Source organism: Homo sapiens, chromosome 2, assembly GCF_000001405.40.
Source record: "Homo sapiens chromosome 2, GRCh38.p14 Primary Assembly".
Lineage (NCBI taxonomy): Eukaryota > Metazoa > Chordata > Mammalia > Primates > Hominidae > Homo > Homo sapiens.
In genome coordinates this window covers 60,487,651-60,502,737 of record NC_000002.12, presented here as the reverse complement: position 1 = coordinate 60,502,737, position 15,087 = coordinate 60,487,651, and the positions used below count along the sequence as shown (strand labels likewise).

Sequence of the window (15,087 nt, the reverse complement as noted above, 5' to 3'; positions counted from 1 at the left end):
GGTAAATTTGTTTTTCTCTGATGATGATTGAAAACAGTTTTATTAACATATCAAGAACATTACAACACAAAGAGTTTCTGGTTTAAAAAATCTCTTTTCACTGGTATTTCTTAAATTCATATTTTAATATTAGAAAGCATGGGATTGGGTGTGAACACTGCTTTTGGATGTTGGAGGAAGATAAGAGAAGGAAGCTGGCTCTTTCTTTAGGAGCAATACCTGAGATCCCAGAATTGTATGTACAAAGTGTGTGATGGCAGAGCTCAAATCTGTGCTAGCGAGAAACCCCCTGCTACTCTTCTGAATCTGATGAAGAAGTTATTCTGTCTGTGCAGTTTTATTAGGCTGAGACTTTTTCCGATGGTTTATTTTTCCGTTTGCTCACAGAATGTAGAGGAGAGCCAGGAGGGAGCTGACACGTTCACACTGTTTACCTACTCCCTGACTTTGGAGCTCAGCAAATCTGCTATCCATCATTTTGTTTCACCAGCTTTTACAAAGCAGGATCATAAACTGTAAGCTCATTTGGAGGGACCTGATCTCTGATTGTTGCTTTGATAAGTATCTATACAAATATTCATATCATTCTGATAGTCTTGAGTTGCATTGTTACAACATGCAAACCTCTCAGTTTTCCAGGACTTCTGGTGGTACAGCTTCTCTGTGGAGTGAGGCATATTTTTGGTCTGGCCTTTCCTCCCTGAAGCTCTGTTAGCCTGAGATTTCACCTAGTGCAACACAAGTTGTGTAGAAAGAAACATAATACTACTTTATTCCATAATTCACTAGTAAAATAATTAGAATAAAAGGCTGTTTTGGAATGTAGAGAGGCAGAGGGGCTGATATAACTTCTCAGAATGCATCTTCCTGTTTTCCCGTCTTAAATTTTTATGTGAGATGAGCACACTGCTGTAATTAAGAAAGCAGTGTAAGGCTGGGCGCAGTGGCTCACGTCTGTAATTCCAGCACTTTGGGAGGCCGAGGTGGGTAGATCACCTGAGGTCAAGAGTTTGAGACCAGCCTGACCAACATGGAGAAACCTCATCTCTATTAAAAATATAAACTTAGCCAGGCATGGTCGCACATGCCTGTAATCCCAGCTACTCAGGAGGCTGAGGGAGGAGAATTGCTTGAACCCAGGAGGCAGAGGTGGTGAGCCGAGATCACACCATTGCACCCCAGCCTGGGCAACAAGAGCGAAACTCTGTCTCAAAAAAAAAAAAAAAAAAAAAGAAAGCGGTGTCAGTACTTGCAAAAGGCCTTTCCCTCTTGCCACTCAGGGAAGCACCCGAAAGAGAACTTACAAACCAGGTAAAGTATTTGGAAGTGATTAATCATATTACAAGAGTGTTCTTCATTTCCCCCAAAGGACCATGGCTTCCTGTGACACTTACCTGTGCTCTTATAGATATTAAAGACAGAGCCACTGGACTGTGAGCTCCTTGAGGGCAGGGAATGAGGCTCATTCCATTTTGTTCTGGCAAGTAGCACTACAGGTTTGGACCAAATGAATTAAATTGGCTGCCATTGAATCAAAGCAGAATGAAGGTAGTGTTTCTGAAACAATAATATAAATAAGTGCAAAATTGGATGTTTACCAACAACTTTCCAGAAACAGGTCTTGTTTCAGAAGATGTGCCAAAGATGTCTCATGTGGGCAGGGCTCCTGTGGAGACCTCTGTTGCTGAGTGAGTCAACCATGAGGTCGGCTGAGCAGTTCAGGGTTCTCCCATTTTACAGAGGAGGATGCAGCGACCCAGAAATGCTTGCAAGCCCACCCAGCTAGGCTTGCTTCACAGACACTCTTTTAACTAGTTCCATCAGCAACCCCAGGTTGGCCATACAATGTCATCATACACATTTTACCAGTGAAGAAACTGAGGCTTGGAGAGGTTAAAGAGCTGCTCCCAGACACACAGCCAGGAAATTGGTGGTAGATGAAGGATCCAGCTCATCTGTCTAACTTGGGAGCCTGAGTGTTCATCTTACCTATCCACCAAGGCTTGAAGTGAGGTGCCCCGACTGTGAGTTCCAGGTTTGATGCCTACAGCCCATCAGCCTTATACCTTGTCTTATACCTTAACTGGTGGAGGGTGCTGTCTCTGTGTAGCAGCCACCAGCCTAGCTCTGAACCCTGTCCTGAGGAGTTGGGAAGTGTGGGGTGTCTGGTTTATTCCATCAATACACGTAGTCCCTTCCATTCTTCTGCCATTTTTTCTCAGGGGCTCTCCTTCCTTCCCTGGCTCTTGGGTAGGCTGCCTGCTCTGATGTAAGTTCCTGCTGGGATGATTGCTCTGGCCAGGCCCCCAGCTGCTCCCTGCCCTTCTCTGAAGGCACATCTGTCAGCCCACAGAGGCACGGTTAATGGTGGCGGGGAAGCAGAGGCAGTGCATAATGGGGGAACTGGCCCCGGGAACCTCACCTGCCCTATCCCTACCTGCCCCCTGTCCCCTCCCCGCCTGGGCTTGACTTGTCCACTTTCACTCTCAAGACCACCGCTCTCACACACAGGTCCTGTGCTGCCCCCACAGCTTTGCAGGCTGCTGGTTTTCCATCCAGGGCACAGCCGCAGGCCTCTGGGCACCCTAGCCCTCAGTGCCCAGGGCAAAGCCCTGACATGCAATCTCACTGGCAGGCAGCCTCAGGCAGGCCTGGGCAGAGGACCGAAAGGAGGAGAGGAGGGAGGGAGCTACAGTAGAGCAGACAGGAGACAAACACCAGCTAAGAGTAAACAGCCTGGCAGTGGGGTGAGTGCCTGGCTGGAGGGGCTCACCTGGGCTGGCCTGCCTGGGAGGAGCCAGGTCGGTGGCTGCTCTCTCCGAATCTTAGTCCTGCTTGAGGTCTAGCAGCTTCCGGAGCTGCACATGGGGCTTGAGGTCTGGTGCTTATGGATTAGGAGGAAGAGAAGACAGATGGCAGAGTACCAGGCAGCTTAGGAACATGTCTCCTTCCACATGCTGTGGCCCAGGTGCTGCCCAGAGCTGTTTCACAGCAGCCTCTCCACTCAAGGTTGAGCGGTTTCCTTCAGTGCTGTCCACCCCTTTGGTCCGGGGAGCTTCATGTTCCTGGGCCTCACTGACACCTGCATGGGGTTGGTGGGGAGGTATGAGGGGTTGGAGGGGTCTTTTTGCTAGCCCTGGCCCGTGGCAAACACTGTCTTGAGAAAGTGGGACGTTGAAGGAGCTTGGACTCTAAAGTCAGCTACACATGAGTCTTTTCACCTGCTGGCTAGGTGGCCCCGGACAAGTCAATCAGCCTATTGGGCCTCAGGCTCTTTATCTATAAAATGGGGCTAATTTCCTTTTTTGCCCCTGGGAAGAAATATCACTTAGAGGAGTTACAGAATGTGCAACCTTTCCCAGGAGTATTGCTCCTGAAGGAATAAGGCACGATGGGCTTTGACTTCAGCCTCCAGCACTGTGGCCCAGAAGGGTATGGCTGGGCAGGGGCGTCACACCCCTGCAGCTCTGTGGGAGTGACGGAAGGGCGCTATCCACTCGCCTTGCACATGGCTGTCTTGCTCTACCAGGCCTTAGGTTCTGTGGCCAGATACTGTTCTCCAGCTCTTTGGCTTGGGCCCCGAGACCAGAGAAGATAATGGCAGCCCAGAAACCTGAATACTGGGGAACACATTGTAGGGTGATCTCCCAGAAAAGCCAGCGAGAAATGGACTGTAGCTGTAGCATTCTTCCCTTTGGATGCCTGTGTGGGGACAGAATCAGTGGAATGGAAAATGAAGAAGAAACACTGGCCCTGCCTCTCATCAATGCCCCCCCACCACCCACCACCACCACCTGCTTCCTGTTCTATTAGACAAACGTAGTTTCTGGATGAGTTGGACAGTCATCTGAGTTTGATCAAGATTTACAGGTAATTCAAATGTATGTATAAGGTACATACATATTAGTACATCCATCAGAGAGGCTTCCTTAAGCCACAAGTCTCTAGCTCCTCAGAGAACTGGCAGTCTGGCTGGGTCTGTACGAACTTGGACCTATAGATGACCTCACTGGTTTCTCCCCTTGTCACCTCATCTGCCTGCTTCCTTCTCTTTACTGATCTTATGTGAGTAGGTAGAGGGGTCAGATCACCTCTGCTCAGCTCTGCCCAGCACACTAAGCCTATTTGCTATTAAAATTTGAAAAACAAATGCAGGTGCCAGAGGTGGCTAAATAATGAATGTCCCAGGCCAATTCTAGGAAGGGAAGTGGGTATGGGGCAGCCCATTGCCTTCCTGGTACCAGGATGATGCAATGCTTGGAGGCTGTGAGCTCCCCACCTTCTCAGGGCACACCCTGTGATCTTGTGGGACCCCTCTGTCCAGCCCAGCCTGGGTGTGCATCTTGTGTGCTTGGTCGGCACTGATAGGGGTCGCGGTAGGGAGTTGTCGGCACACACTGCTGCATGTCCTGTGAGCGGTCCCCAAGGCTGTGCCCAGCCTTCAGTGTCCAGGGCCTCTTCTGACAGGCCCTGCTGGTTATCACTGTTGGCATTATCTCCACGCACCACTTCTGTGCCCAGGGCTGCTGGGTCACCTTAAGGAGCCACACACCCGTCTACATAGAGGCCCTTCCTGCTTGGGGTCTGACCCAGTTATCCCCTCCACACCTCCATTCTCCCAGACTTTTGACTCACCCCAGCCCTGCTAAGAGTGATGTCCTCCCCCAAAGAGAAGACCCCTGCTCTTGAGGGTCTGCCAGGTGGGTCCCTCATCTCCCCACCTCCATGGGCCTCTTGGATTTTGTGCATAGCAATCTCTGCAACACCCTGACCTTTATGGGGTCATCCTCGGCCAATGAAGCGGTGGGTCCAGGCTCCCCCTTCTATCACCTGGCTCACTTCCATCCTGCAGAGGAAGCTTGGTTTCATTTAGGACAATGTGCAGGATCCTTTTGATCATTTCTCTACTGGATCATCAGCAAAGGGAGAAATGAGACAAAAGAGGCCACTGAGTCCTTTGGGGGAAATATGTGCCTATAGTAAGGTGATAGTTCAGAGAAAGAGAAGAGTAGGAGGCTGGACCTGAAGGCCTTCCAAAAAAAGTAAAGGATGTTAAATTGCTCTGGAAGGTGCAAAGTGCCATCCAGTGGAAGCTATTATTATTATTATCATCATCATAATGGTCATTATCATCACCATTATAGGATATGGCACTGACGTAGGTAGTGACTGGTAAGAGCCGATTGAGTTTCTAGCTGATTCCTGATGTTAGGGGCCATGAATCTGTCTACCTGGAATGTTCTAATTCAATTCAGGAGCGGCAGTTTAAGTCTAGACTTCAAAGCACTCTCATATATCCTTGGCCTGCTAACCTGAGGGCTAGTTTCTAGGGATTGATTAACTTAAAGACAGTTCATATATGCTTGAATACTAGCTATTCATATTCTGAAAAATCTGACTTGATCAAACAGAGCAGTTAAAGGCGATGCTTCGTTTTACAAAAGATTTTCCCCCCTCTTTACAAAAGGATGCACAGTGGTATTCCTTTCAATGGAATGTTTCTCTAGCTCATTAAGTGTTTACAGGTCATTAGCTACTGCATGGAAGGACTTTGCTAGAGAAAAGGAAGGCTGCAAGGAAATAGCTCTAGCTCTAGCTCTAGCTTAGGGGATGCTAGCTAAAGGGAATTAGAATTGGTTGGCCAACAGGTGTCTGCGGTGTACTCCCTGTCCACTCAACACTGGGGGAGGAGTAGAGATCTTGCTTCCTTCCATGTGAGAGCTTATAGTCCCTTTGGAATCCAGATTTATCGTGAAGTAATCGTGAAGACAGAAATTAAGTGCTACATTGTGTTCACTCATCTCTTATGACTGTCCATGGGGAAATGGGTCCTGCTTTACAAAAATTCAGTTTGCATGCTGCTTTTCAGGCCTATGACTGTGACATCCAGTGAGGGAGATTTGAGGAAGGGGTTGATGTAAGACTCCTCTTGGGAGCATAGTGAGAGAGAGAGAGAGAGAGAGCACTCACAGTGGAACCTAGAGTGGGAAAGGCTACCTGGTGGCTGTCCTGGCATGTAAGTAAGTCTGTGTGGTCAGGGCTTGCATTCCATAAATGGCCCAGGCCCCTGCTGGCTGCTGGGAGAGAAAGTCGGTGAGGAGAGAGGGTTGTACAAGGCAGGAGAGATGTACTCACCAGGCTCTTCCAGAAGGGGTAACTGTCTCAAATCCTTGCCTTGAACCTGCAGCAAAGTGGAAGATAGGTGTTATCCTCCTCTCTTCCCTCTTTCCTGCTTCAGGCTACTCTGAACTCACTTTTGCTGTGTGTCCAGAGCTGACCAGAGGACAATGGCAGACTTATTGTCAGACTGGCAGCACCAGCCTAGTGCTCTGTCTCTGCCTGGGAAATGGTTTCACAAAGCTCCAGTTCTGCCCTGGACACTTGCCTCATAGGGCTATCCCTTTGCCCCTCAGTAACACCACTGGGATGGTCCACTCCCACCCTGTCCCCCATCTGTGGTAGCCTGTGTTGCCTCGTGGGACAAGGCATTCTGTAAACGTGTATTGGACTTCCATTGCTTAAGTCATGATTTGTTTTTCCGACTTCCAGAACTTTCCCGGTTCTGGTTTTCTGGGATTTCATGAACAATTCCCTGTTTCCGTAATCCATTTCCTGCACAGGTGCATTGCTTTCAATCATCTCCCCTCCGGTTATCCTAAAGCCTTCATTATCAATTGACTTTTCACATATGAGGGTGACCTCTGGATCCCTTCTCTTTGGTTTGTTTGTTCTCTTTTCCAGAGCTGCAGTATGTTTCTTAGGTGTTTTAAAAAATAGCTAAGAATAGTGAAAACACCCTTGTAATTTAGAGACTCTCAGAAAAATGACAGCACCATTTAGAGCCTGGAATTACAGTTTGACTTCACTGTGCCTTCTCTGCCCCAGGCTCCCATGGTGGCAAGGGTTTTTGGTTGGGGGAAGGGGTATTGAATTGCCTGTCTTTGAGCAGGAAAAGAATTACAGTTTTCCAGGTACCTTTTGTGTGTATGTGCTGATTGAGGGCCCATTGAGAATATTTTGACTTTTAGGGAAGCTCCAAACTCTCAAACCACAGGGATCACAACACATACGTGTGTCTGTTATGACGTTATATGTAAGCATCACAACAGGCAGAGAATGTCTGCACCCCACCCTGGAAAACAGCCTGACTGTGCCCCATGGGCAAACCAGACTAGTTTATAGGGGGTTCTACTCTGAGGTACTGATGGACCTTGGGTGCTATTCCTGTGATAAGGAAGGCAGCTAGACAGGACTTGGGAGTTATCTGTAGTGAGATGGCTGAAAAGCGATACAGGGCTGGCTCTATGCCCCAGGTGTGCATAAGTAAGAGCAGATAGCTGATTCCAGTGCAAAGTCCATACAGGTAATAACATAGGCCAGAAAAGAGATATGGCATCTACTCTTAGACATAACACACCAGGGTCAATACAACTTTGAAGCTAGTCTAGTGCAAGCTAACAGTTGCTTTTATCACAGGCTCCAGGAAGGGTTTGGCCTCTGATTAGGGTGGGGGCGTGGGTGGGGTAGAAGAGGACTGGCAGACCTCTCCATCGGTGGCCGTTTGCCCAGGGGGGCCTCTTTCGGAAGGCTCTCTTGGTGATGGAGAATTGGATTTTATTTCTCAATGGGAATGAAATAATTTGTATGCCATGCCGTGTGGACTCCCAAAATTGTAAAGGAGGTGAAGCTTCCCCTGTCTGCACTCTCCCCTCCTCATAATTGTCCATTTTTCATCTGTCGGGCTGTCCACCCATCCATCACATATAGGCACCTATCAGGTACCAGCTACTGTGTTAGGATCTGTGTTCCCAACTGACTTGCCTCCCCCTGACGTCATATTCTTTTCCTTTTTCCTCTCCCTTTTCCCTTTTCTTCTGACCCAAACTAGGAATTGGGGAAAGGGCCTGATAACTTTGTTTCTGCTGAGGTGTAACTAATAAATACCAGGAGGCAGCATTTTAGTTCACAAGCTCGGAGCACTTACTCTGCTCTAGGAACTTTACAAATACGCACTCATTTTATTTTCATACAAACCCTATGAAGCATATACTATTATTATTCCTATTTTACGGATGAGTCCATATTTTAAATTCCAGCTGAAGAAAGAACATTTGGTGATAAATCATTAGGAATGAGCTAGGAGTTATTTGTCATCACAGAACCAGTCTGTATTGCCCCAAGTCTGGCTTTGCCAATTGGAGATTAGGGAGATGGAATGAACACTTTTCGTCCCCTTTGATATCTCATCTCACTGAGCTCTGGGCCGTTTCCACTCTTCTCTCCCCATACTCCCATCTTGGCAAAAATTGCATAAGATTTATAAGACATTAGGGTATTGGAGATAATTTATTACAACCTCCTTGTTTACAGAGGGGCAACCCAGGTCCAGAGTGGGGAGGTGACCAGGCCATGGTCACTGCCCAGTTTAGAGGCCATGCACAGATGAGAAGCCAAACTCCCAGCTCCCAGCCCACGTCTTCCCACTCTCCCATGTGGCCTGTCAGCATCACCCTCTCTCACTCTTGCTTAGCCTGTGTAGCTCAAGGATGTATTTATTGCCCTAGGCGTAAGAATGTGCTCAGGTTTCTTAAGTAATGTAGGTGTGCCTCACCCATGGGGCTTCACTTTCTCTCTGTTTATTGCCAGTAGTGGTCTCTGTTCTGTTTTCTTCAGTTTCTCCCCCTTGCATTGTTGTCTAAGATGGCTGTCCTGTCTTTTGTCCACTTCCCCTCCACTCCCCGTACCTTCCTTTAATCAGCTTCCGCCACTGCCTGAGGCCACTCAGCTCTGGTCCCACTGGAGGCCCTGTCTCCCCCAGGGGTCCTTCTGCTTCCTGTTCACCTCTGATCCCCCAGCCCTGCCATGGCCAAGCTGATGAGGATGGGGGAGGGGGAGGCAGGGGGAATCTTAATTTCCTGCACTGAAGCTTTGCTGTCCACAGCACTGGGCAGCAGCTGCCTCCCTGGAGTGTTGTGTGAGACCTTGATGCTGTCTTTCTTCCCAAGGCCTTTGGCAAGGTAGAAGTCATCTCCTTGACTCTCCATGCTGCTAATGGGGGAGGTCAACTAAGTCCATTTCTGAGCTAGTGGGGGCTCTTAGGACTCCGAACACCACACTTAAGTTATCTCTGACCCAGAGTCCAATTTATTTGGCCTGATTCAAATGAATGCCCATTTTAAGAATGTTTTGGGGTCTCTTCCCATCATTTCCTTAGTGTAGTGGAGAGGTTTCTATTCGGAATAGGATGACATTTGGTAGCTGAGCCAAACAGATAGCTGGGATATAGGGTTTGGAGTTGAACTCTCCAGGGAATGGGGTGGGAGGGGGGCAGCCTGGAGGATGACAAAATGAGGGCTCCCTGGACTCAAACTCAAAACCTTTTCTGTGTTCTCGAAATGCCTTAGATGTTTACCTAAGAGAAATGTAGACATACATTCCTATAAACACATCTACACAGTGTCCATTGTAGCACTGTTCATAGTGGTCAAAAAGTGGTCACAACCCACATGGCAACCAATAGGTTGAATGGATAAACGCCCTATGGTGGAATACAACTCAACAGTAGAAGAATGAAAGAGTAACACACTCCACACCATGGATGAATCCCAGAATCATTCTGCTCTGTGGAAGAAATTAAACACAAAAGACGATATCCTGTATGAGTCCATTTGTAACAAATTCTAGAATTCTCAACACTGTGGTGGTAGGTGGGGGTTCAGTGGTTAGAAGGAAGGGGTCAGAGGGTTAGGGAAGGGGATTGACAGCAAAGGGGCATGAGGGGGCTTTCTAGACTGGTGGACGTGTTCTGTATCTTGATTTTGGTGGAGGCCACACAGCTGTATACAACTGGCAAATTGAATCCAACTGTACACTTAAAATGAATGACTTTTGTTGTATGTAAAGTATACCTTAATAAAGCTAAAGCGAAACAAAACAAAACACCCACCACTGGAGTGGAACCAAGTCTGTCTGTAACCTTTAACTGTTTGGGTCTCCTCAAGACTCTAGCCGTCTTTCAGGGTAGCACCAAAGTACATTTCAGGGAAATGAGAATGCCCTTTGTATTCTGAGATTTTATAGAAGTTGGTAATGACAGAGAGAGAGAGAGAGAGAGAGAGAGAGGGAGGCCCACTGAGATGGGGTTATCCACCATAAGCAGAGCATTTGGGTCTGAGAAGCGCATGAGTACTGGTGAGTATGTGAGGAAGGAGAGAGCAAGGGGAGGAAATCTGTTTTCCTAGAATTCCAGCAGGCTTCAAAAAGTAAAAAGGGGAGGGAGTACCCAACTAAGTTTTTTTCTTCCCTAGAAATACATTTATTCTAAACATTAGCCCAATTAGTTGTCTTTTGTTTGTTTGTTTGTTTGTTTTTGAGACAGGGTCTCGCTGTGTTGCCTAGGCTAGAGTGTAGTGGCATGTTCATAGCTCACTGCAGCCTTGATCTCCTAGGCTCAAGCCATCCTGTCACCTCAGCCTCCTGAGTAGCTGGGACGACAGGTGCATGCCACCATGCCTGGCTAATTTTGTAGAGATGGAGTTTCTCCCTGTTGCCCAGGCTGGTCTTGAACTCCTGGGCTCCAGTGATCCTCCTGCCTTGACCTCCCAAAGTGCTGGGATTACAGGCGAGAGCCACTGTGCCTGTCACCAACTCAGTCTTATTCATCAGTATGTCTTCTCCTTAAGCGGAGATGCTAACAATGTAGCATCTCCTGTGCTGAATTCCTGTAAAGTGAGGGTTTTTGTTTTTCCTACATCCATCTTCCTCTCCAGATTCCCTCTCAATTTCCAAGGTATTTAGCGTAAATGCAATATCTGAACTTCATTTATTTGGCAGATTTGTGTGGACTGCCTTTTCTGAACCTATTTGGGTGCTAAGGACTGTATGGATTTGGGTTCTTAACATGGAAAACGTCTGTGCCTGCGTAGTGTTGGGTCCTACCTGGCCACTTGGCTCTCAACACGGAGTGATGATGCCTAGGGTGTTTTGACGTGGGCAGTCAGCCCAGCCTGGAGAACTGAGGGGAGCATTTCTTTCTTTTTTTTTTTTTTCTTTTTTCTTTTTTTGGTGAGACGGAGATTTACTCTTGTTGCCCGGGCTGGAATGCAATGGCGCGATCTCGGCTCACTGCATCTTCTGCCTCCCAGGTTCAAGCGATCTCCTGCCTCAGCCTCCCGAGTAGCTGAGATTACAGGCATGTATTACCATGCCCGGCTAATTTTGTATTTTTAGTAGAGACGGGGTTTCACTGTGTTGTCCAAACTGATCTTGAACTCCTGACCTCAGGTGATCCTCCTGCCCCGGCCTCCCAAAGTGCTGGGATTACAGGTGTGAGCCACAGCGCCTGGCCGGGAGCATTTCAAATGATAGTTAGGACTTCCTTTTACTGTACTTAATAGCTGAAGGGGGCCAAAAGTGTCCATGTTTGCTGCCCTCTGGCATCAAAATGAGGTCCTTTTTAGTAGTGCTGCATTTAAAACAGCATTAAGAATACGTTTTTAGAACTTAGCTTTTTGCATTGAGGATGCGCAGGTGGCTGAGACTAACTTCTTTGCAGATGACCATGGTTGAAAGTCAGCTATAGAGTTGCACAACCACGTAGTTGGGCTTCACATATAGAAGATGTTGTCATTTTTTGGTAACTCTGTCAGACTTTACCAACCTGGCGCACAGTCTGGTTGGCACATAAACTTCACATTTGCTCTTCTCCAGGGTGTGGGGTGGCTGTTTAAAGAGGGTGGATATTCATGCTAATCTTTGTGTAGCATAACATGTTACTGCAACTTGCTTTTTTTTTTTTATCTGAAAGTTCAAGTAGATATCAGAAGGGAAATGTTTGTGGGTGCTAAGAAGGTTAAAATTACCATTTTGAACAGAAATGATATTTGGAAAAATAACTTCCCTTTTAGGAAGGTAAATCAGTCATTTATATGCTATTTGTTGAATTCCTAGAATATATGAATATCATGTCACATGCTGTGCTGGTACTTTCAAATATAATAGAAGCAAGTAGGAGAAAGAGTCCCTGTATTGAAGAAACTCATTGGGAACACATGAAATTAATTAGAGGCATAGAGGGTTAACCAGCAATGTAAGGCCTAGATATGAGTCAGGGAGTGGTGCATGGGATGAGTGTTCTATGAGGTTGGAGAAGGATGAGATTGATTCTTCTTGCTAAGGTGACTAGGTAGACCTTCATTGAGGCCTTGAAGTATGAGCAGGATTCCAGGAGGTAAGAGAAGAAGAAGAAAAGCCAGGAAGGAAATGAGAACGGAAGGGATTTTTACTTGGGCAGAATATTTTCCTTGATGGGTACGGGGAACTAAGACTGGAATAGAAAATTGGAGTTGGATTGTGGAGCTCTGGAATGATGGCTTAAGGAGTTGGACCATATCCTATAGATCACAGAGGGCTGCTGAAATACTCTGATCAGAAGACAAAGGCAGCATGCTAGGGGATGTTAAGTGAGGACTCTGCAAAGGGGGTGGATGAGTTGTTGAAATTCTCTGTTATACCCTTCATGCCGAGTTCTCCCCTGTTGACTTATATGTTCTAGAGGATGGAGTTGGTTGACCGTAGGGTTTCCTTTCACTAGCAGAATGGAACCAGATATTGTAGGAGCCTAGCACATGGGTCTGTTACTAATATAGAGGACTGTTTAAATCTTGGAAAGCTTTCCTTTTGCCTTTGCCCCCATTGCAGATGGGGAGTGGGCAGGAATGACGTTCAGAATCAAGGGCCCATCAGGGTCTGTATTGGTCCCTTGTCCCTCTCCTCCAGTCCATCCATGTTGGGATACTCAGGGCATGGATGGTGTTTCATGATAGCATTTATCATTTTGATGATATGTGACAAAATAAGGCAGGCATCAAAATTCATATCCCTGTGATCTCTCTTTAATAGTGTCCTCCTGCTTTGGGGGTTATTAAGCTAGCCTGAACTTGAGTAAACATTTTTGGATGGGGTGAGAGGGGGGCTGATAAAAGTGGTTAGTAAATAGACAGTTGGAAAGGAGAACGGCCCGGGGGCTCAGGAGATGAGCCAGGGAACAAGGAAAGCAGAGATGCTAGTGACCCAGAGTGTCCTAGAGGGGAAAGAACCTCTGTTAGAATTTCAAATGTCAGACTTTCTTTTCAGCTTCCTTCAGGTGCTTCCTCTTCTACTCAGAATTTTCTTTTGAGATAGGTGCTGGTCAAACAAGCTTTTGTTTGTGGCTGGTCACTTGGCACACAGTGTGGCTGTTTGTCATCCTGGATGATGAGGCAGCTATTTTAATGGCACGCAGGGCCGCCGTGTGTTTACTGCCAAGAAATAAGGGCTTCTAGGAGACTTGGTGGCTTTAGGAACAAACTTCCAGCGGCAGAAATTAGTTAGGAAGCAGAGTAGCACTGGGTTCCAAATGCCTCTATTGTATGAATTTGGATATGTTGTGGGCAAAATGACATAAAAGAAATGGAATGAGAAATAGTGTAAGTGACTGACAAGGACCCCATTGGCATGTGGGCTAGTGTTGACTGGCTCTCACAGTGTGAATTTAGTTAGGTGTTTCCACTTTATTTTCCCCAAACTCTAAAGCAACAGTTTAATTGGGGTCTAAGGTACCCTTTAGAAACATTTTGACCACCTATTATTTAGGACACACAGCATTTTTTTTCTTTGAAGATAAATTTGTTTTGGGTATGGCTGGGTGTGGTAGCTTATGCCTATAATCCCAGCACTTTGGGAGGCTGAGGTGGGTGGATCACCTAAGGTCGGGAGTTTGAGACCAGCCTGACCAACATGGAGAAACCCCGTCTCTACCAAAAATACAGAAATTAGCCGCGTGTGGTGGCGCATGCCTATAATCCCAGCTACTTGGGAGGCTGAGGCAGGAGAATCGCTTGAACCCGGGAGGCGGAGATTGCGGTGAGCCGAGATTGCGCCATTGCACTCCAGCCCGGGCAACAAGAGCGAAACTCCACCTCAGAAACAAAAAACAAACAAACAAACAAACAAACAAACAAAATCGTTTTGGGTAGCAGTGGCTTTAGGCTGTTTTTGGATCTTTGGCTATTGATACTGATTTGAAATTTTTTGTTATTATTTTCATGTTAAGCAAAACTAGAAAGTTTTACCGAATTCCCCTGCAGTACAGTAAGTATTTTCTTTCATTGGGGGAAGCAAACTATTTACAGCCATAACAGGGTTTCCAGTGAATTGTATAAGTAGCACTGAGTTCTGTGTCAGCAAAAAATGAAACAAAAACTGATCATAGATGACATTACCTAAATGACAGTACCTACGTGTGTCCTTTCTTTCACATTTGCTGTAATCCTGTTATGGCATTGTCCTATTATCTCAAGTACTGTCATCTTTAAATGCTGTCAAATTGTAACTGGATTGCCAAGGACAGAGGAGAGGAACCAGGGAGGACACAATGGCAATTCCCACTGCACCAAAGAGACGGTCTTCTTCCCCCTCTCACAGTCTGAATTCTTGGAGACATTGTTCAGTTAAAATCATGACTCAGGTATCTTTTACAGGCTTTGATGAAATAGTCAGATTCACTCCTCATGTTCCTAGAAGGAAAGGAAGAAACACTCTTTGAACAGCCCGTGAGACAAACTCTTCCAGGATAATTTAAATGTTTCTACATAATGAGAATAAATTGTAAGTGTTACTGTGTTTTTAAAACCCAGGTCAAAAGTAATAGCACAGAGAGGGATCTATAAGCATTTAATATCTAATTGTTCATATATTGCTTCCCCAGGTTTAGATGAGGGCTCCATTCTAGAGTTGGGAAAACCAAGTCAGTAAACCTTTAGTGGCAGATGTTATCAGGGAGCTGGAGTTGGAGTACTTGCATTTTGTGTTTGTGCCAGCTGTCCATGTTCCTCTTCATATATTTAGACCAAATTCTTATCCAGATTTCCCATTAAAGGTTCATAAATTTCCAGTTTTCACCTTTCTGCAGCTTCCTTAGATAGAATGGTTGATGAGAAAATTACCGCATTAAAATTAAGCCTCTTGCTTTTTACATTCTGCTGCTCATAAATAAGGGAGTGGGAAATGGTTACTTTGAACACCCTCGTTAAAGGCTGGTGTGGTTGC

General features: G+C 46.4%; 1 protein-coding gene across 37 annotated transcripts in view, besides 5 other annotated features; it reads left to right on the top strand.

Moving 5' to 3' along the window:
• The window catches only part of BCL11A (BCL11 transcription factor A), a 103,405-nt gene that overhangs the window by 51,187 nt on the left and 37,131 nt on the right, over positions 1-15,087 (top strand). The gene's annotated exons all lie outside the window — the stretch shown is intronic.
• Positions 2,535-2,744: an enhancer, noted in NCBI's record as "active region_15809". NCBI's record gives its function as "activates an Ori minimal core promoter by ATAC-STARR-seq in GM12878 lymphoblastoid cells {active_cell/tissue: GM12878}" and the evidence as "EXISTENCE:reporter gene assay evidence [ECO:0000049][PMID:35858748]".
• Positions 3,385-3,454: a silencer, noted in NCBI's record as "silent region_11510". NCBI's record gives its function as "represses an Ori minimal core promoter by ATAC-STARR-seq in GM12878 lymphoblastoid cells {active_cell/tissue: GM12878}" and the evidence as "EXISTENCE:reporter gene assay evidence [ECO:0000049][PMID:35858748]".
• Positions 5,168-5,777: an enhancer, noted in NCBI's record as "NANOG hESC enhancer chr2:60724096-60724705 (GRCh37/hg19 assembly coordinates)". NCBI's record gives its function as "activates a minimal SCP1, AML or CMV promoter by ChIP-STARR-seq in naive H9 embryonic stem cells {active_cell/tissue: H9 hESC(naive)}" and the evidence as "EXISTENCE:reporter gene assay evidence [ECO:0000049][PMID:30033119]".
• Positions 8,331-8,830: an enhancer, noted in NCBI's record as "H3K4me1 hESC enhancer chr2:60721043-60721542 (GRCh37/hg19 assembly coordinates)". NCBI's record gives its function as "activates a minimal SCP1, AML or CMV promoter by ChIP-STARR-seq in primed H9 embryonic stem cells {active_cell/tissue: H9 hESC(primed)}" and the evidence as "EXISTENCE:reporter gene assay evidence [ECO:0000049][PMID:30033119]".
• Positions 8,831-9,332: an enhancer, noted in NCBI's record as "H3K4me1 hESC enhancer chr2:60720541-60721042 (GRCh37/hg19 assembly coordinates)". NCBI's record gives its function as "activates a minimal SCP1, AML or CMV promoter by ChIP-STARR-seq in primed H9 embryonic stem cells {active_cell/tissue: H9 hESC(primed)}" and the evidence as "EXISTENCE:reporter gene assay evidence [ECO:0000049][PMID:30033119]".